This window comes from Homo sapiens, chromosome 22 (assembly GCF_000001405.40).
Source record: "Homo sapiens chromosome 22, GRCh38.p14 Primary Assembly".
Taxonomy (NCBI): domain Eukaryota; kingdom Metazoa; phylum Chordata; class Mammalia; order Primates; family Hominidae; genus Homo; species Homo sapiens.
Window position 1 is genome coordinate 38318640 of NC_000022.11, and position 19354 is coordinate 38337993.

The 19354-nt window shown below is 51.5% G+C and overlaps 1 protein-coding gene across 1 annotated transcript in view, besides 6 other annotated features; it reads right to left on the minus strand.

The window, feature by feature from the left end:
- The window catches only part of TPTEP2-CSNK1E (TPTEP2-CSNK1E readthrough), a 108225-nt gene that overhangs the window by 27949 nt on the left and 60922 nt on the right, over positions 1-19354 (minus strand). The window contains exon 5 of the mRNA NM_001289912.2: positions 17969-18067. The gene's annotated coding sequence lies outside the window, so the exon portion shown is untranslated. The remainder of the gene's footprint in view (positions 1-17968; positions 18068-19354) is intronic.
- Positions 234-1138: an enhancer, noted in NCBI's record as "H3K27ac-H3K4me1 hESC enhancer chr22:38714878-38715782 (GRCh37/hg19 assembly coordinates)". NCBI's record gives its function as "activates a minimal SCP1, AML or CMV promoter by ChIP-STARR-seq in primed H9 embryonic stem cells {active_cell/tissue: H9 hESC(primed)}" and the evidence as "EXISTENCE:reporter gene assay evidence [ECO:0000049][PMID:30033119]".
- Positions 3635-4426: an enhancer, noted in NCBI's record as "H3K27ac-H3K4me1 hESC enhancer chr22:38718279-38719070 (GRCh37/hg19 assembly coordinates)". NCBI's record gives its function as "activates a minimal SCP1, AML or CMV promoter by ChIP-STARR-seq in primed H9 embryonic stem cells {active_cell/tissue: H9 hESC(primed)}" and the evidence as "EXISTENCE:reporter gene assay evidence [ECO:0000049][PMID:30033119]".
- Positions 5806-6318: an enhancer, noted in NCBI's record as "H3K27ac hESC enhancer chr22:38720450-38720962 (GRCh37/hg19 assembly coordinates)". NCBI's record gives its function as "activates a minimal SCP1, AML or CMV promoter by ChIP-STARR-seq in naive H9 embryonic stem cells {active_cell/tissue: H9 hESC(naive)}" and the evidence as "EXISTENCE:reporter gene assay evidence [ECO:0000049][PMID:30033119]".
- Positions 6319-6829: an enhancer, noted in NCBI's record as "NANOG-H3K27ac hESC enhancer chr22:38720963-38721473 (GRCh37/hg19 assembly coordinates)". NCBI's record gives its function as "activates a minimal SCP1, AML or CMV promoter by ChIP-STARR-seq in naive H9 embryonic stem cells {active_cell/tissue: H9 hESC(naive)}" and the evidence as "EXISTENCE:reporter gene assay evidence [ECO:0000049][PMID:30033119]".
- Positions 6985-7279: a silencer, noted in NCBI's record as "tiled region #8587; K562 Repressive non-DNase unmatched - State 24:Quies". NCBI's record gives its function as "represses a minimal TATA promoter and a strong SV40 promoter by Sharpr-MPRA in K562 cells {active_cell/tissue: K562}" and the evidence as "EXISTENCE:reporter gene assay evidence [ECO:0000049][PMID:27701403]".
- Positions 8877-9388: an enhancer, noted in NCBI's record as "H3K27ac-H3K4me1 hESC enhancer chr22:38723521-38724032 (GRCh37/hg19 assembly coordinates)". NCBI's record gives its function as "activates a minimal SCP1, AML or CMV promoter by ChIP-STARR-seq in primed H9 embryonic stem cells {active_cell/tissue: H9 hESC(primed)}" and the evidence as "EXISTENCE:reporter gene assay evidence [ECO:0000049][PMID:30033119]".

Below are 19354 nucleotides of genomic sequence, written 5' to 3' on the forward strand. Positions count from 1 at the left end.
GGTCTATCTAGAGCCCATTTCCAAGAGCAGGAGAGTGAGAAGCCTCCTCCCAGGAGGGCCTGCCTTCAGTGACACCTTTGCCAGAGCAGGGGGTCACCAGCCAGGTGGTGGGCTTTACTTGGCCTGCGCGGTGCTTTCTGTTGTTGTTTTGTTAATTAATCCCCAAAGTTTTTTTTTTTTTTTTTGCTTTTTGTTTTTGTTGGTTTTGAGATAGAGTCTCGCTGTGTGGCTCAGGCTGGAGTGCAGTGGCTCAATATCGGCTCACTGCAACCTCTGCCTCCTGGGTTCAAGTGATTCTCCAGCCTCAGCCTCCCTCCTGAATAGCTGGAATTACAGATGTGCACCACCACACCTGGCTAATTTTTGCCCAGGACCACACAGTATTTTTAGTAGAGACGGGGTTGGCCAGGCTGGGCTGGAACTCCTGACCTCAAGTGATCCGCCTGCCTCGGCCTCCCAAACTGCTGGGATTATAGGCGTGAGCCACCATGCCTGGCCACTCCCCAAAGTTTTAAAACTGGAAGATTTCATATTTCAGATCCAGATTCCCTGTTTCTCTGGGGGCATTAGGAGATCCGGTAACTCTGGGCCCAAGTTCTCAGCCGGCCTGAGCGCCACCCCACCGCCACCCATTTTGTTTCTTTCCTCACATGAGCCCAGGCAGAGAGGCCTGGGCACAATTGAGCAGGGGGTGAAGTCTGCCCCTGTGTCCTCCAGTCCTTACCACCCCTAACCTTCCAACCTGGGCCCTGCTTCCCAAAGCCCTCCTCTTCTTCAGCACTTTCAAGGCAACCAGCCCTGGGAGAGGAGGTTATTTGTTATCTCATTTAATCCTCTCAAACAACAACAGATTACACTGTATTCTTTCAGAGAAGGAATCAGGCTCCTCCCAGTGCTTGCCTAAGGGCACAGATCAACCTCTCCCTTAAACTGGGCCTGGCTGGAACAGACCCCCTGCCCCTTCCTAACCCAGCCAGATCGCCAGGTCTGACTGCAGCACGTTCACGTTCTCCCCTCTGCATTCAGGACTTGTAACCACACCTCCCACCCCAGCACCCCCACCCCACCCCCTGCCCCAGTTAAGATCCTGCTCAGTTCCCTGGGCCAGCCAGGCTGAGGAGCCCGGCTCATCCCCAGGCCTGCTAGGGAGCCTCCCTGCCTTGCCATTGGAAGGACATGCTGTTGTCCACTGCCTGAGTTGTGGGCCCAAGTCCTTGTCCTTCCTATCCCTGGAAGACCTGTGTGTGGGCCCTTCCAAAGAGCTTTGCAGTGAAGCTATAAGGGAAGGCAAACCATGACACAAAACCCAGCTGAGGAGGGGAGACTGGTCCAAAGTGAAAAACAAAACCTTACGTGTTCCAGCAGCCCCACAGCCTGACTTCTCTCTCCGACTTGGTTCACAGTGATTCCTCTCAGATTTAACTCCTAACTTTAAAACCCAACGGTGGGGCCGGGCACGCCCCTGTAATCCCAGCACTTCAGAGGCCAAGGCGGGTGATCACCTGAGGTCAGGAGTTCAAGACCAGCCTGGCCAACACGGTGAAACCCCGTTTCTACTAAAAATACAAAAAATTAGCTGGGCACGATGGCGGGCACCTGTAATCCCAGCCACTCGGGAGGCTGAGGCAGGAGAATCACTTGAACCCAGGAGGCGGAGGTTGCAGTGAGCCGAGATCGTACCATTGCACTCTAGCTTGGGCGACAGAGCGAGACTCCGTCTCAAAAAAATAAATAAAAAACAAAACAAAACAAAAAACCCAAGGGTGTGGCAAAGTTCCCCTAGCTACCTTCTCTGCAAGCCAACAAGAAGATGAAATCAGGCTAGAATAGGTGTGGGGTGAATTGCCAGCTCCCAAGGGGCCCACCCTGGGTTTCAGCTGCTCTGCATTGGTTCAGGAATAGTGGCTCTCACAACACCTTTCCAAACTGGCTTTTGTCTTTTTTTTAGAGGCTCATTCTGTCACCCAGGCTGGAGTGCAGTGGCAGGATCATACCTCGCTGTAGCCTCAAATTCCTGGGCTCAAGCGATCCTCCTGCCTCAGCCTTCCAAGTAGCTGGGACTACAGGCATGCACCACCACACCCAGCTAATTTTTAAATTTTTTATAGAGATGGGGTCTTACTGTGTTGCCCAGACTGGTCTGAAACTCCTGGGCTCAAGTGACCCTTCTGCCTCGCCCTCCCAAAGTGCTGTGATTACAAGTGTGAGCCACTGTGTTCCCAAACTGACATTTTTTACCTGCTCCCTATTTCAGACCCTTCAAGATCACTTGGCACGCAGGAGCACTGGGCTGGGATCCCAAGGACAGCCCTGGAATTCCCAGATAATGACGATATGGCTGCAGATAAACCCAGAAAGATTTCAGTACCTGCCCCAGGAATCTCAGTCTTGACTAAGGACTCATAGATTTACTAAACATCAAGGGCTGGCCTGAAAACGGCCCTCCAGGATCTGTCCTCCACTCCCCGCACCTGGCTCTCCTGACCTCAGCTCCTGTAAGTTTTCTTCTTGCTCACAGCCCTGTAGCCTCACTGGCCTCCCATGGAATGAACCTCTGGCCTCAGGGCCTTGGCAGGGGCTGTTTCCACTGCCTGGTGCGCTCTTCCCGCAGAGCACCAACCCCCCTCACCTCTCACCTTTCTCAAGTCCCCTTCAGAGGTAGGCCCTCCTGGTCTCCCAGTTTATTTATTTATTTATTTTTTGAGACAGAGTCTGGCTCTGTCTCCCAGGCTGGAATGCAGTGGCCCGATCTCGGCTCACTGCAACCTCCGCCTCCCGGGTTCAAGCAATTCTCCTGCCTCAGCCTCCAGAGTAGCTGGGATTACAGGCGTCCACCACCATACCTGGCTAATTTTTGTATTTTTAGTAGAGATGGAGGTGTCACCATGTTACCCAGGCTGGTCTTAAACTCCTGACCTCAGGTGATCCGTCCGCCTCAGCCTCCCAAAAAGCTGGGATTACAGGTGTGAGCCACCACGTCTGGGCCCAGTCTCCCAATTTAAAATCCTGGCGCTGGGCCACAGGCGGTGCCTCACACCTGTAATCCCAGAACTTTGGGAGGCAGAGGCAGGCGTTGCTTGAGCTCAGGAGTTTGAGACCAGCCTGGATAACATGGCGAAATGCTCTCTCTACAAAAAATACAAAAATTAGCTGAGCATGGTGGCTGGGTGTGGTGGTGCATGCCTGTAGTCCCAGCTACTTGGGAGGTTGAGGTGGGAGAATCACCGGAGCCCAAGGAGGTTGAGACTGCAGTGACCCTTGATCATACCACTGCACTCCAGCCTGGACAGCAGAGTGAGACCTTGTCTCAAAAAAAAAAAAAAAAGAGTGAGACCGTGTCTCAAAAAATAAAAATAAATAAATAATTTAAAAATAATAATAATAAAGGCCAGGCACAGTGGCTCACACCTGTAATCCCAGCACTTTGGTTAGGAGGCCGAGGCAGGTGGATCACTTGAGGTCAGGAGTTTGAGACCAGCCGGCCAACATGGTGAAACCCCATCTCTACTAAAATACAAACATTAGCTAGGAGTGGAGATGTGCGCCCGTAATCCCAGCTACTTGGGAGGCTGAGGCAGGAGAATTGCTTCAGCCTGGGAGGCAGAGGTTGCAGTGAGCCGAGATCGTGCCACTGAACTCCCGCCTGGATGACAGAGCAAGATTCCATCTCAAAAAAAAAAAAAAAATAGGCCAGGCTCGGTGGCTCATGCCTGTAATCCCACCACTTTGGGAGGCCGAGGCAGGCAGATCACGAGGTTAGGAGTTTGAGACCAGCCTGGACAACATGGAAAACCCTGTCTCTACTAAAAATAAAATAATAATAATAATAATAATAAAACCCCATCCCCATGGGTCACTGCCTTCCCCTTCTCTGCTGTCTGTTTCTGTTTTTTTGTTGTTGTTGTTGTTGGTTTTTTGAGATAGAGTTTTGCTCTTGTTGCCCAGGCTGGAGTGCAATGGCGCGATCTCGGCTCGGCGTGATCTCGGCTCACCGCGATCTCGGCTCACTGCAACCTCCGCCTCTCGGGTTCAAGCGATTCTCCTGCCTCAGCCTCCCGAGTAGTTGGGATTATAGGCATGTGCCACCACGCCCGGCTAATTTTGTATTTTTAGTAGAGACAGGGTTTCTCCATGTTGGTCAGGCTGATCTTGAACTCCCGACCTCAGGTGGTCCACCCGCCTTGGCCTCCCAAAGTGCTGGGATTACAGGCATGAGCCACCGGGCCGGGCCGGGCCTCTGCTGCCTGTCTCTTTTTCTCCTGGCCTGTATCACTATTTAACATGCTCTGTAGGGAACTCCACATCACTATCTAACATGCTCTGCAGGGAATTTTTATTTTTTTGTCTGCATTCCTTACTTTGGGGTCTAAGCTGCATAAAGGGAAGGAGTTAATGCTATTTTGGGCACCACTGTATCACCAATATCTAGGATCTATTCCAGCACATAGGAGGTATTTAACAAAGATTTGCTGGATGAGTGAATGAATGGACGGTGAGGAGACAGCCTCCTGATCTCTGACCAACTCCAAGTGCTGTCACCCACCATTCGCCAGGCTCTTTAGAGACACGTGGCCTGTACTGACGAGGTCAGCTCTCACTGCACCCTCGGGGGCTGGGGCTGGGGGTGGCCTGCCAGGGTCTGTGCCCTTAACCACTCTCCCAGGCTAACGGAAGAAATAGTTTCTTTTGGCTGGGCGTGGTGGCTCACGCCTGTAATTCTAGCACTTTGGGAGGCTGTGGTGGGCGGATCACCTGAGGTCAGTAGTTCCAAGACCAGCCTGGCCAACATGGTGAAACCCTGCCTCTACTAAAAACACAAAAATTAGCCAGGCGTGGTGACTCACGCCGGTAATCCCAGCTACTTGGGAGGCTGAGACAGGAGAATCGCTTGAACCCGGGAGGCGGAGGTTGTAGTGAGTTGAGATCGCACCACTGCACTCCAGCCTGGGCGATGAGTGAGACTCCGTCTCAAAAAAAAAAAAAAAAAAAAGAAATAATTTCTTTTTTTCTTTTGAGATGGAGTTTCATTCTTGTTGCCCGGGCTGGAGTGCAATGGTGCGATCTCGGCTCACTACAACCTCCGCCTCCCAGGTTCAAGTGATTCTCCCGCCTCAGCCTCCCAAGTAGCTGGAATTACAGGCATGTGCCATCACGTCTGGCTAATTTTGTATTTTTAGTAGAGATGCAGTTTCACCATGTTTGTCAGGCTGGTCTCGAACTCCTGACCTCAGGTGATCCACCTGCCTCAGCCTCCCAAAGTGCTGGGATTACAGATGTAAGCCACCATGCCCCGCTGTGGACATGATTTCAAGAAAAGCCCTAGGTGTCCCCCATCAGGCTCCTGCCCCTGAACCCATCCGCTACAGAAGGAACTGTGGACTCCAGTTGGGAGAGCTACAAGCTTCATTTATTCCACTCTACTGCTTTTTTCATTTTGTGTTTGTTTCTTTGTTTTTTAGAGACAGGGTCTTGCTCTGTCACCCAGGCTGGAACTTAGTGGCATGATCATAGCTCACTGCAGGCTCGAAATCCTGGACTCAGGCGATCCTACCACCTTAGCCTCCTGAGTAGATGGGACTATAGGTGTATGCCACCATCACAGGCTAATTTTGTTTTTTGTTGTTGTTGTTGTTTTTTGGTGAGCGGGAGATTTACTCTTGTTGCCCAGGCTGGAGTGCAATGGTGTGATCTCGGCTCACCGCATCCTCCGCCTCCCAGGTTCAAGCAATTCTCCTGCCTCAGCCTCCCAAGTAGTTGGGATTACAGGCATGTGCCACCACACCCAGCTAATTTTGTATTTTTTTTTAGTAGAGACGGGGTTTCACCGTGTTGCCCAGGCTGATCTCGAACTCCTGACCTCAGGTGATCCGCCCGCCTCAGCCTCCCAAAGTGCTGGGATTACAGGCGTGAGCCACTGCGCCCAGCCACAGGCTAATTTTGTTTGTTGTTTTATAGAGACAGGGTTTCTATGTTGCCCAAATGGGGTCACTACATTGTTTGGGCTGTTCTCGAATTCCTGCCCTCAAGTGATCCTCCCCCATCAGCCTCCCAAAGTGCTAGGATTGAAGGCGTGAGCCATCATACCTGGCCCCCCTCCACTGTTTTACAGATAGAGACACTGAGGCCCAATGAAGGAATGAGCCTTGTCCAAGGTCACAGGCAGCATGTGATGGCAGCTCCACATGGTTAAGGAGCTAGCTTCAAATAGCATTCTGCGACCAGGCACGGTGGCTCACACCTGTAATCCTAGCACTTTGGGAGGCTGAGGCAGACGGATCACCTGAGGTCAGGAGTTCAAGACTAGCCTGGCCAACATGGAGAAACCCTGTCTCTACTAAAAACACAAAAATTAGCTGGACATGGTGGCGTGCGCCTGTCATCCCAGCTACTCGGGAGGCTGAGGCAGGAGAACACCTGAACCTGGGAGATGGAGGTTGCAGTGAGCCGAGATCCCGCTATTGCACTGCAGACTGGGTGACAGAGCAAGACTCTGTATCAAAAAAACAAAAACAACAACAAAAAAGAAGCTAGCTTCAAATAGTATTCTGCAGCCAGGCACCGTGGCTCATGCCTGTAATCCCAGCACTTTGTGAGGCCAAGGTGGGTGGATTGCCTGAGCTCAGGAGTTCGAGACCAGCCTGGCCAACATGGTGAAACCCTGTCTCTACTAAAAATACAAAAAAAAAAAAAAAAATTAAAAAATAAAAAATAAAAAACTAGCCTGGCATGGTATGGTGGTGGTGACTGTAGTCCCAGCTACTTGGGAGGCAGGAGAATTCCTTAAACCCAGGATGTGGAGGTTGCAGTGAGCTGAGATGGCACCACTGCACTCCAGCCTGGGCGATAGAGCAATAGAGGGAGACTCCTCTGTCTCCAAAACAAAAAAACAAATAGTATCCTCCCATTTTGTAACAGTGTGACACTAGGCAAGTTCCTAAAATTCTTGAGTCTCATTTGTAAAATGGGGATAATATAAATCACAAAAACAATGTAGCCCAGAAGCAGCCCTGAGTAAGAGGAAGATGCTTACATTACAATGTTGCTATTCTTAGGAGCCGAGCAGAGTTCAATGCAGGGCTCCTGACTTGGGCTCCTCTGAGCACCTGAGCCCTGCAGGCTGTATCCCCCGCCTCTCCTTTCCTTTTGTCACCCTTCCTCTGGAGGGGCCACCGCCAGCCCCTTCTACGGTGGGAGTTGGAGATATGCAAACCTAGTTGGGCCCAGGGGAGCTGCTAGCCTTGCCCATCTTGGTCTTGGCTCTCGAAGGCCCCGGTGGGAAGCTTCTCAGGGTCCTCCCCTTTTCAGGCCCTGTTCATGGAGAGTCTGTGGCCCACAGGCTCCAGAGGTTCCCCCGCCCCCAGCCCTGCCAGCCTGAAGATGCTGTCCTGGGGCACTCTCCTCTCCTTACCCAGCTAGGCCTTGGCTCTTTGTCCCCAGACCCTTCCATGACATCCTACCCACCCCTCACTATTCCCAGGGCACAGCTTTGGCCCCAGGCTCTCTTTTCAGGCACTTCTTCCAGGGAACCTCACCACTGGGCCGTGCCCGGTCAGGTCACTCCTGCCAGGGCTTCCTCCCTCCTCTTCCATCTTCAGCGGAGAGGCAGCAGGGCAGGGTAGCAAGGTCTGGGTTTGGTCCCTGGTCAGTCTGAATTTCAGCGCGACCTTGGAGAATCCACAGCCCTTCTCTGAGGAGCTGGACAAAGTGAGTGCTAAAGCTCTCAGTCTCCCCAGCTGAAGCTAAGGGCAGGGCTGGATGGGCAAGGACCCTACACTCCACATCCCGGGCACTAAGCTGAGAAAGACCTTGAGGTGACAAATCTGGGCTCAGTGGGAAACGGCTCTCCCCGCACCCCTTACCCCCATATTCAAAACCTGAGCAGCTCCCATGAGCTCTACCTTCCAACTGGATTCTGAACCCAGCCACTCTTACCACGTGTGTCTTCCACTTGGCTACTACAGTGGCCTGTTAACCACTGAGATCTGACTGTGGCTACTGAAAATACACCAGTGGCTCCTTCTTCCCTTAGCATGAAATTCACATTCTTTCCCAGGGCCTGCTATGATCTAGCCCCTGCCTGCCTCAGACCCCATTTCAAACCTCACTCTCCCTCCCTCACTGTCTGTCATCTCACCATGCCTCAGGGCCTTTGCCTGGCTGTTCCTCTGCCTACAATGATCTCCCCAAATCCTCCATGACTGCCTCCTACTCAGGGCTCAGATCACAACTCAAAAGTCACCTCTGCACAGAAGCCCTCCTTGACTGGTCTTCAGTGGGCTTCCTTCCCCTCTGTCCTTCCTGTACTGGGGATATCCTGCTTTTTTTTTTTTTTTTTTTTTTTGATACGGAGTCAGTCTGTCGTCAGGCTGGAGTGCAGTGGCGCGATCTTGGCTCACTGCAACCTCCGCCTCCCAGGTTCAAGCGATGCTCCTGCCTCAGCCTCTTGAGTAGCTGGGATTATAGGCGCGCACCACCACGCCCAGCTAATGTTTGTATTTTTAGTGGAGACGGGGTTTCACCATATTGGTCAGGCTGGTCTGGAACTCCTGACCTCGTGATCCGCCCGCCTCGGCCTTCCAAAGTGCTGGGATTACAGGTGTGAGCCACCGTGCCTGGCCAGCTGCTTTATCTTCTTCATGGTACTTATGACTGGCTGAAACATTAACTTGTTCATTTTTAATGCTCTTAGGGTCTCTCCAAGACAGAGAAATCTCCCATAGGTGCTCCTGTGGGTACCCAACTGGTCATGGGTGCCCCGTAAATACTTGTGCAATGGTGATGTTGTGTGTGTGATCTCAGGGGTGAAGGCAGGGCCTGACACTTTCCATCCTGAGCCAGATGTTCCCTAACAGCCCTCCCTCAGGGCCACCTTGCCCCACCCATCCCTTCTCACGGTGGCTGCCTGTCCTCCTGCTCTGCTGGGGCCCTCTGTCCTCCTGCTCCACTCAGCATTCCCTGTGCTGTTGCAACTCCCAGAGGAGCCAGGAGCGCCTGTCACGTGTCCCCAGGAGCAGGGAGCACTACACAAATCCTTGGCATCCCCAAAGGGCCACCCGTGCCCGGCCTCCAGCTCACCTCTGCCTGCTTCCTTCCCTCAGCTTGGCCTGTCACCCCCGGCCCTATGGGCTCCTCTGACCCCTCTGCTCATCACAACATCCCTTGTTTGTGCTGCAGTCAACCAGCGCCCAAACCTGCTCCTTCTGTCCTCTGAGAAGCCAGGGCTTCCCGTTCCCAGCTCACACAACCACTCATTAGCTGGGCTCCGGGAATGAGGATGATTGCTGCGACTAATAATCCCGATGCCCACAGCAGCGCTCCTCGCTCGGCATAGTTGGTGCGACTCATCATCCTGCCACATCACACGTTCACCCACAAGCATTTCCTGATGCCAACTCCTTGCAGGGCCTCAGAGGTCTGCGCCGGCCCCAGCTTGCCAGGAGCTGACGATCCGACAGGAGAGGCTGAATAGACACAAGAAAAAAGAGGGTCCTACAGTATTGAGAGAATACGCTAGACAGTGACCGCCACAGGAAAGTCAGTGTCTGGGGGCAGTGGTGGTGCCAATGGCTGGCGAGCAGCCGTCTCCCCTTCGCCCTGGGCATTTTGTGATGTGGGCAGTTGCTATTCTTGTAATTTTATGTGAAGTGCTACACAAATACAGCACTGAGACAAGTCTCCGACCCCTGCTTCCCCTGCCATCAGACTGTCTCCCTAAGCCCTGTCTATAGAGAAATTCTGAAGTTGACACGGGGGTGGAAGGGAGGAGGCAGGACTTGAAAGTAGGTGGGATGCCGGGCACGGTGGCTCACGCCTGTACCCCCAGCACTTTGGGAGGCCAAGGCGGGCAGATTACCTGAGCTCGGGAGTTCAAGACTAGCCTGACCAACATGGAGAAACCCCGTCTCTACTAAAAATACAAAAAATTAACCGGGCGTGGTGGCACGCACCTGTAGTCCCAGCTACCCGGGAGGCTGAGGCAGGAGAATCACTTGAACCAGGGAGGCAGAGGTTGCAGTGAGCCAAGATTGTGCCACTGCCCTCCTGCCTGGGTGACAGAGCAAGACTCAGTCTCAATAAAAAATAAACAAATTAAATAAATAAATAAATAAATAAATAAATAAATGTAGGGGGGATCTGGATGGTGGTTGGCTGGGGGGAAGGAACAGCCCTGAGCAATAGCTGAACGGTAGGAACCTCGGATATTTGGGGGTGGGAAGGGCCCACTGTGGGGAGACCAGTCAAATGGCACCCAGGCCTCCCTCAGGGGAGAAGGCTGAAGAGGATGGAAGAGGTAAGAGGATCTCTAATCCCAGGAGCTGACTAGGAGATTTAGCCAATGGCTTTGCTCAGAACAGCTTAGAGTTTTGCTCATGGACAAGAGGAGAGAAAAAAACTAGGATTTACTGGATGGACAGCGTGCAGGCTCCCCACTGGGTACTCAGCACTGAATCTGGTTTAATAAATGCCACAGGAATCCTGTGAGCTGGAGATCACCCTGCCCATTTTGCAGGTAGAAACCTGAGGTTCACAAGGAGTTCAAGATCAGTTCAGGCAACAAGGGAGACCCTGTCTCTATTCAAAAAATAAAAAAATTAGCTGGGCATGGTGGCACATGCCTATGGTCCCAGCTACTCAGGAGGCTGAGGAGAGAGGATCGCTTGAGGCCAGGAGATCGAGGCTGCAATGAGCCAAGATCATGCCACTGCACTCCAGCCTGGGCAACAGAATAAGATCCTGTCAAAAAAAAAAAAAAAAAAAAGGAGGAAACCCGAGGCTCAGAGAGTTTAAGAGAATCTGACCAAATAATGCATAAAAGTTAGGAAGGGCCTGGCGCAGTGGCTCACGCCTGTAATTCCAGCAGTTTGGGAGGCCGGGGTGGGCAGATCACGAGATCAGGAGATCAAGACCATCCTAGCTAACATGGTTAAACCCTGTCTCTACTAAAAACACAAAAAATTAGCTGGGCATGGTGGTACGTACCTGTACTCCCAGCTACTTAGGAGGCTGAGGCAGGAGAATCACTTGAACCCCAGAGGCAGAGGCTGCAGTGAGCCGAGATTGTGCCACTGCACTCCAGCCTGGGTGACAGAACAAGACTCCGTCCAAAAAAAAAAAAAAAAAAAATTGGCCAGGCGCGGTGGCTCACGCCTGTAATCCTAGCACTTTGGGAGGCCGAAGCGGGTGGATCACTTGAGGTCAGGAGTTCGAGACCAGCCTGGCCAACATGGCAAAGCCCCATCTCTACTAAAAAAAATACAAAAATTAGCCTGGCATGGTGACGGGCACCTATAATCCCAGCTACTCAGGAGGCTGAGGCAGGAGAATCGCTTGAACCCAGAGGGTGGAGGTTGCAGTGAGCCAAGATTGCGCCACTTCACTCCAGCCTGGGTGAAAGAGCAAAACTCCATCTCAAAAAAAAAAAAAAAAAGGCTGGGCACGGTGGCTCGAGCCTGTAATCCCAGCACTTTGGGAGGCCGAGGCGGGTGGATCACGAGGTCAGGAGATCAAGACCAACCTGGCTAACACAGTGAAACCCCGTCTCTACTAAAAATACAAAAAATTAGCAGGGTGTGGGGGCGGGCGCCTGTAGTCCCAGTTACTCGGAAGGCTGAGGCAGGAGAATGGCATGAACCCAGGAGGCAGAGCTTGCAGTGAGCCGAGATCGCGCCACTGCACTCCAGACTGGGAGAGAGAGCGAGACTCCGTCTCAAAAAAAAAAAAAAAAAAATTAGCTGGGTACGGTCGCTCACTCCTGTAGTCCCAGCTACTTGGGTGACTGAGAAAGGAGAATTGCTTGAACCCGGGAGGCAGAGGTTGCAGTGAGCCAAGATCATGCCACTGCACTCCAGCCTGGGAGACAGAGACTCCGTCTCAAAAAAAGGAAAAAAGCCAGCCAGGCGCGGTGGCTCATGCCTGTAATCCTAGCACTTTGGGAGGCCAAGGCGGGCAGATTGCCCGAGCTCAGAAGTTCAAGAACAGCCTGGACAAGATGGTGAAACCCCATCTCTACTAAAAAATACAAAAAATTAGCCGGGAATGGTGGCGTGTGCCTGTAGCCCCAGCTACTCAAGAGGCTGAGCCAGGAGAATCACTTGAACCCGGGAGGCAGAGGTTGCAGTGAGCCAAGATCACACCACTGCACTCTAGCTGCCTGGGTGACAGAGTGAGACTCCATCTCAAAAAAAAAAAATCGCTTAGGAAGAACTTCTGTTTTCCTCTCCAGACCTAGCCTGGAGCCTCACCCTGCCTTGGGGACTGGGCACCTTCTGCCTTTGTCTCCCTCAATGCATGGTAACTGGGCACCCCTCTCAGGACACCACAAGTCCGATCCACCACTCCAGAAGCACAGGGATTCTGGTGACCGTTAAGGTAGCTGACTCCCAGGCAGATGTCTGCACCCCATCAGGTTCACTAACTAACCCAGTGGGGTGTAAGAAGAAAAAAAATCAGAATTTGTATTCTTCAGTTTTTAATCTGAGCCCGCTAAATATTCTACTTCAATGTAGGTTTTTAAAAATTTATTTATTTTTTGAGAAGAGTCTTGCTCTGTTGCCCAGGCTAGAGTGCAGTGGCTCTATCTCTGCTCACTGCAACCTCTGCCTCCTAGGTTCAAGCGATTCTCATGCCTCAGCCTCCCGAGTAGCTGGGACTATAGGCCTGTGCCACCACGCCTGGCTAATTTTTTTTTTTTTTTTTTGAGACGGAGTCTGGCTCTGTCTCCTAGGCTGGAGTGCAGTGGCGCGATCTCAGCTTACTGCAACCCGCGCCTCCCGGGTTCAAGCAATTCTCCTGCCTCAGCCTCCCGAGTAGCTGGGACTACAGGCGCAAGCCACCATGCCCGGCTAATTTTTGTATTTTTAGTAGAGATGAGGTTTTGCCATGTTGGCCAGGCTGATCTCGAACTCCTGGCCTCAGGTGATTCACCCACCTCGGCCTCCCAAAGTGCTGGGATTACAGGCATAAGCCACCGTGCCTGGCCAATTTTTGTATTTTCAGTAGAGATGGGTTTTTGCCATGTAGGCCAGGCTGGTCTCAAACTTCTGGCCTCAAGTGAGCAGCCCACCTCAGCCTCTCAAACTGCAGGGATTACAGGCATGAGCCACTGTTCCCAGCCCCTAATGTATGTTTTATAATGTGCTTATGAACACAGCAGAACACATATACCTAAGTTATAAATACTAAATATACAATTAAATACAAAACGAATGCTCAAAAATATTTTTGTGGGTTTTTTTCAGTCTTTATTTTGTTTCCTTTCATATGTAGTCCTGCAGATCAAAAACATTTTCCCAGATGGGGTATGCAACCACAGTTTGCATTAGTGTTGGAGACCCCTGGAACGAGTTCTCACTTGAGGGGCAGCAATGATAAAGACTACTTCAGGCTGGCGCAGTGACTCACGCCTGTAATCCCAACACTTTGGGAGGCCGAGGCAGGATGATCACTTGAGCCCAGGAGTTCAAGATCAGGCTTGGGAACATAGGGGACTCTCTCTCTACAAAAATAAAAAAAATTAGTCGGGCATGGTGGTGCATGCCCATGGCCTCAGCTACTTGGGAGGCTGAGGTGGGAGACTCGCCTGGGCCCAGGAGGTCAAGGCTGCAGTGAACCATGATCACGCCATTGCACTCCTGCCTGGGCAACAGAGCAAGACCCTGTCTCAAAAAAAAAAAAAAAAAAAACAACACTCTGCTTCAAGAGGCTGGATTCAAATTCTTAATTGGCTACTTTAAGCTCCAGGCTATGTGGCTGGATGAGTTTATAGGACCTTCCTAAGCCTCAGTTTCCTCATCTAAGAAATGGCGGTGGCAATAGCACCCACCTCAGTGGGGATTAAAAGAGCTGCTGTGGCCAGGCGAGGTGGCTCATGCCTGTAATCCCAGCACTTTGGGAGGCTGAGGAGGGTGGATCACCTGACATCAGGATTTCAAGACCAGCCTGGCCAACATGGTGAAGCCCCATCTCTACAAAAATACAAAAATTAGCTGGGCATGATGGCTGGTGCCTATAATCGCAGCTACTTGGGAGGCTGAGGCAGGAGAATCGCTTGAACCCTGGAGGCGGAGGTTCCTGTGAGCTGGGATCGTGTCACTGCACTCCAGCCCAGGCGACAAAGTCAGACTCCATCTCAAAATAATAATAATAATAATAATAATAATAAATCAAAGAGCTGCTGTGCATAAAGCCCGTAGCTCAGAGCCTGGCATGTGAATAGTAGCTGCAGTTATTAATTCACCTACAGGGCCTTGGCCTGGCTAGTTATTAATTCAGCTACAGAGCTGGGCCTGGCTGGGCCTTTCGGTGGGTCCAGAGATGAAATGTACATGGGTCTTGCACGGTGGAGCTGACCTACTCAAGGAGACCCAAACCTAGGAACTGGTCATTATAAATTAGTGTGAGCAGGGCTAAGACAGAGACAGGGATGTCAGTAGACACTGACAGAGTGCAGGGATTCTTCGGGAAAGCTCTGATGCCTTGTGCAGAAAACAACAGAGAGATGTCTGAGAACACAGATGTATGTCAGACACCCTCTTAGGTTAGAGAGGCAGTGTAGCCTAGTGATGAGGGGTCTGGAGTTAAGACAGACTGGGATTGAATCCTGGCTTCCCTTGGGCAACTTACTTAACCTTTCTGTGCCTCAGTTTCAGTATCTTTTTTTTTTTTTTTTTTGAGATGGAGTCTCCCTGTGTCGCCCATGCCTGTAATCCCAGCACTTTGGGAGGCCAAGGCGGGTGGATCACCTGAGGTCAGGAGTTCGAGACCAGGCTGGCCAACGTGGTGAAACCCCATCTCTACTACAATTAAAAAATTAGCCAGGCATGGTGTCGTGTGCCTGTAATCCCAGCTACTCGGGAGGCTGAGGCAGGAGAATCGCTTGAACCCGGGAGGTGGAGGTTGCAGTGAGCCAAGATCGCACCACTGCACCCCAGCCTGGCAACAGAGGGAGACTCCATCTCAAAAACAAATTAATTAATTAAATTAAATTAAATAATATGTATCCATTTCGTAGAATGACTCTAAAGTGCCTAGAACAAGAGACAGCCACACGAGGTCCTCAATAAGTATTAGCTATCAGATTTTTGAACAGACATGTTGTGGGGCTGTGAAAGTTTCAGAAAGTGTCATTTCCCAGGCCCAAGGCAGCGACTTGCTTCTGGGTCCTGGTGCTGTTATTCCAAATGACTAACATTGTGACTATGTAATGAACCACTTCCAATTTTCTGTGAATTGGAAGATGACTGTCCTAATTCTGTTTTAGAACATCAGAGACCCCTGGATACCCAATTGTTAGGGGAGCCTGCTAACCAGACTCCTGTCCTGGAGTGGCAAGCCAGGCAGAAAGGGATGACCTTGAGGGGGGGGTCACAGACCCTTTCTACAAGATTATTTTAATGCTAATGCTCAGACACTCCCAACAGGGCTCAGAGCCCTTTTGCTCTCATCCAGTGAGAGCGTGCTGTGGGTGCACATTACAAAAAAGCCCGGTTAGAGAAACGGAGCAAGCCCCCCAGGGTCTAGAAATGGATGGCTCTGGGAAATGGGGATTTCCTATCCCACTGAGGTGTGGCCACAGGTTCCCAGCACCCAGACCCCCTCTGAAGATGGCCAGGGAGTTAAGAAGATGAGGGGCCAGGGTGGGGGTGTACAGTCAGAGACTGAGCAGGCCTTTCAAAGTGGGAGGAGGGCCTGGTAAGTAGGTAGCTGGGGAGTTATTATTCCCATTTCACAGTTGAGGAAACGGAGGCCCAAAGCACAGAGACTTCTGTTTTCTCTAAGCAAAGATTAGCCTGGTACAAGTACAGCTGATGACCCAGCCCTGACATCCTCCTCTCCCTAACTCCCCCATCCAGGCATTTGGTGTAGACACCCCTGAGGGAGTTAGGAGCCCTGGGGGCCAAACCGACTCGGTTACTGTTTCCCATGTGGATCTTGAACAAATCACCTGTCTTCTGAGCCTGTTTCCTCATCTGTACAAGGGGTTGGTTACTATGCCCCACCTTCACCCCTTCCTATTTTTCTTCTAATCCCCTCACTCTGAAGCTTGCCCAGAAACTCATCCCAAAGGGGCGAACCCATCTGGAGGCCTGGAGGTCATTGGCCCTGGCTCAGGGATCCTGTCTGCTCCCAGCCCACAAGGAGCGGATATGCGCCGACCTAGTGGTTCGTGTCCACCTGGCCCAGACTCAGAGATGTCTTCATTCTGGGGGTTTTCCCAAGAGCTCATCCCCGTCCTTCTCTCCCCAGCACTTCCCGTTCTCTGGTCCCTCAATACCTTCAGTTGGTCCAAGTCCTTTCTACAAACACACAAACATGCAGACCCTTTTTCTGCCAGACCCATGATGGCGGTGTTTGTGGGGACAGGGCCTACATAATTTAGCTCATTTAATCTTCACAACACCCTGGGGAGGTAGCTCTATGTACCCACTTTCCAGATGTGGAAACTCATGGTTAGAGAGAGCAAAGGTCTTTATCCAGATCCCAGTGTTGGCGGTGGAGGTCTTGGCCTGTTTTTTTCTGTTACATCTCCCGGTCTCCCTTCATAATCTTCCATGGAGTGTTCAGAATGGTACCCAACCATGGTCAATCTCTCAAATGTTACATTATGCAGCCATTAAAACAATGATTACACATACACAAATGACTCACCACAACGAGAAAATGCTTATGACACAATATTCAAGGGAAAAGCAGGACATAAAAGTTGCAGATACAGTATGATAAAATTATATGAAAATGGTTGTGCATGGAAAAAAGACTGAAAGGAAACACACCAAAATATCCAGAGTGATTGTGTCCTGGTACTATGGATGATTTCTTTCCTACTTTTCTACATTTGCCAAATAGTCAATCGGCATACAGTTTTACAACAAAGAAAAGGCACCAATGATAATAATGATAATAATAAAAAGAATTATAGGGCCGGGTGCGGTGGCTCACGCCTGTAATCCCAGCACTTTGGGAGGCCGAGGAGGGCGGATCACCTGAGGTCAGAGTTTGGAGACCAGCCGAAACCCTGTCTCTACTAAAAACACACAAAAATTAGCCGGGCGTGGTGGTGCATGCCTGTAATCCCAGCTACTAGGGAGGCCGAGGCAGGAGAATTTCTTGAACCCGGGAGGCAGAGGTTGCAGTGAGCCGAGATCGTGCCAGCAACAGAGTGAGCCTCCGTCTCAAAAAAACAAAACAAACAAATAAATAATAAGAAGAATGATAACAATACATTTGCGGTTGAAATATTTGGAAACCTGCTGCTTCCTCTTCAACTTCCTCTCCTTCAATTCCCTCCAAAGTCTACGTTTTCAGGACAACGTGACTATAACCCAGAGACAAGGGAGGATTTGGGGGGAGCAGGCAGTATCTCCACAGACCCACGCCCACCTCCTCCTCCTCTCCTTTGACCCGGTTCTCCTCTCCGTCGAGTGAGGACCCCCACCCCGGGCCCTCCTCCTCCCAGCACCTACCCCCAGCTGCTGCTGGCGCTCACCTGAAGCTTGCTGGCCGGCCTTCGAGATGCGAAGTGCGCACACCTGTGCCTGCAGGTGAGGACTCCGCTGGGGAGCGCTCCGGGAGGAGGGAGCCGGCCGGGGGCGGGGCCGCGACGTCACCGGCCCAGCCCCGCGCCGCTTCCCGGCCCCGCCCCGCCCCGCCCCGCCCCGGTTTCCCGGCCCCGGGGGTTTCGTGGTTCTCATGCTTGCGGGGTGAGGCGCTGGGACACTTCTCCCGGCACGCACGCCCCACATGGCCTGGGCCCCGGGCGTCAGCCGCGCCCGCCTTGGAGGCGCGGTCCTCCAAGTGCGGCCCTCCAAGTGCGGTCCTCGGGGGTGGGCGGACTGAAAGGGGAGGTCCCACTCTCCCAGATGAGCATCTTTCTGATCTCCCAGATCGGAAAGAGCTGGGATCCCCCACCCCACCTCCACCCCTGGGTTACTTAGAACTCTTGGGGCCTCGGACTTCAGGTTCAGATCACCTGGAGTAAGGGATGACCTCCGAGGGATGAGGAGCCTCCGAAAGGCCTGTTTCCTTCTCCTCGCAGCCCACTCTACTTCTCTCCGGCCCGCTCCAACACCTAAGAGAGAGATAGGGACATGGAGATCGGGGTGTTTGGGTCAAGTTATCTTTGGATCTGACACCTGCGCTCCGGAAACTTTCCATCTTCTTTGTATTATCTGAGACTGCTTGTATTTGGCAAATTTTTTTCTTGAAAATATCAGCCTGCTGGTGGTGGCAGAGATAAGGGTCTCCGCTCTGTCGGACAGGTTCCAGCTGCCCAAGAGTCGTAAATTAGCGTTTGCCTTAGGGCAGCAATTCCATTTCTGGAAATCTCTTCCAAGGAAGTCATGCAGAATACCTGTTCATTGTGGAGATCTTTTTATTTACTTTTTTTTTGAAGCAGGGAGGGTGTTGCTCTGTTGCCCAGGCTGGAGTGCAGTGGTGTGATCACGGCTCACTGCAGCCTCGAACTCCTGGGCTCAAGCCATCTGCCCACCTCAGTCTCCTGAGTAGCTGGGACTACAGGCGAGCACCACACCTTTCTAATTTTTCCATCTTTTGTAGAGATGGGGTCTCTGGCCAGGCGTGGTGGCTCATGCCTGTAATTCCAGCACTCTGGGAGGCAGAGGTGGGTGGATCACTTGAGGTCAGGAGTTCAAGACCAGCCTGACCAACATGGTGAAACCTCGTGTGTTCTAAAAATACAAAAATTAGCTGGGTGTGGTGGTGCATGCCTGTAGTCCCAGCTACTTGGGAGACTGAGGCAGGAGGATAGCTTGAACCTGGGAGGGGGAGGTGGCAGTGAGCAGAGAACGCACCACAGCACTCCGGCCTGGCAACAGAGTGAGATCCTGTCTCAAAAAAAAAAAAAAGGTGGGGTCTCACTATGTTTCCCAGGCTAGTCTTGAACTCCTGGGCTCAAGTGATGAACCTACCTCAGCCTCCCAAAGTGCTAGAGTTAGAGGCGTGAGCCACTGCACCCAGGCATTGTGGAGTTCTTTATAATGGGGAGGGTTGGGGCTGGTCTAAGTGTCCAGAGAAGGGGGTTCTTTAACAGAGCAAACACACGATAGAATATTATGCAAGCATTAAGTTATGTTTACAAACAGCTTATAATAATATGAGGAAATATGTTATAATATGAAGAGAATAAAAGCAGGATGTCAATGTGTGGTGACAGCAGGGTCACAGCTATACTTAAAAGCAAAACAATTTATGCACAAGGAAGAGTCTGGAAGGAAAATGTTCACTACGATTATTTCTGGGTGGTGGCACTATGAGGCTTCTTTATTATCCTTCTGTTTTCCTGCTTTTTCAACATCTAATAAGCTTATATCACTTTTATAAAGTTTCTTCATTTCTT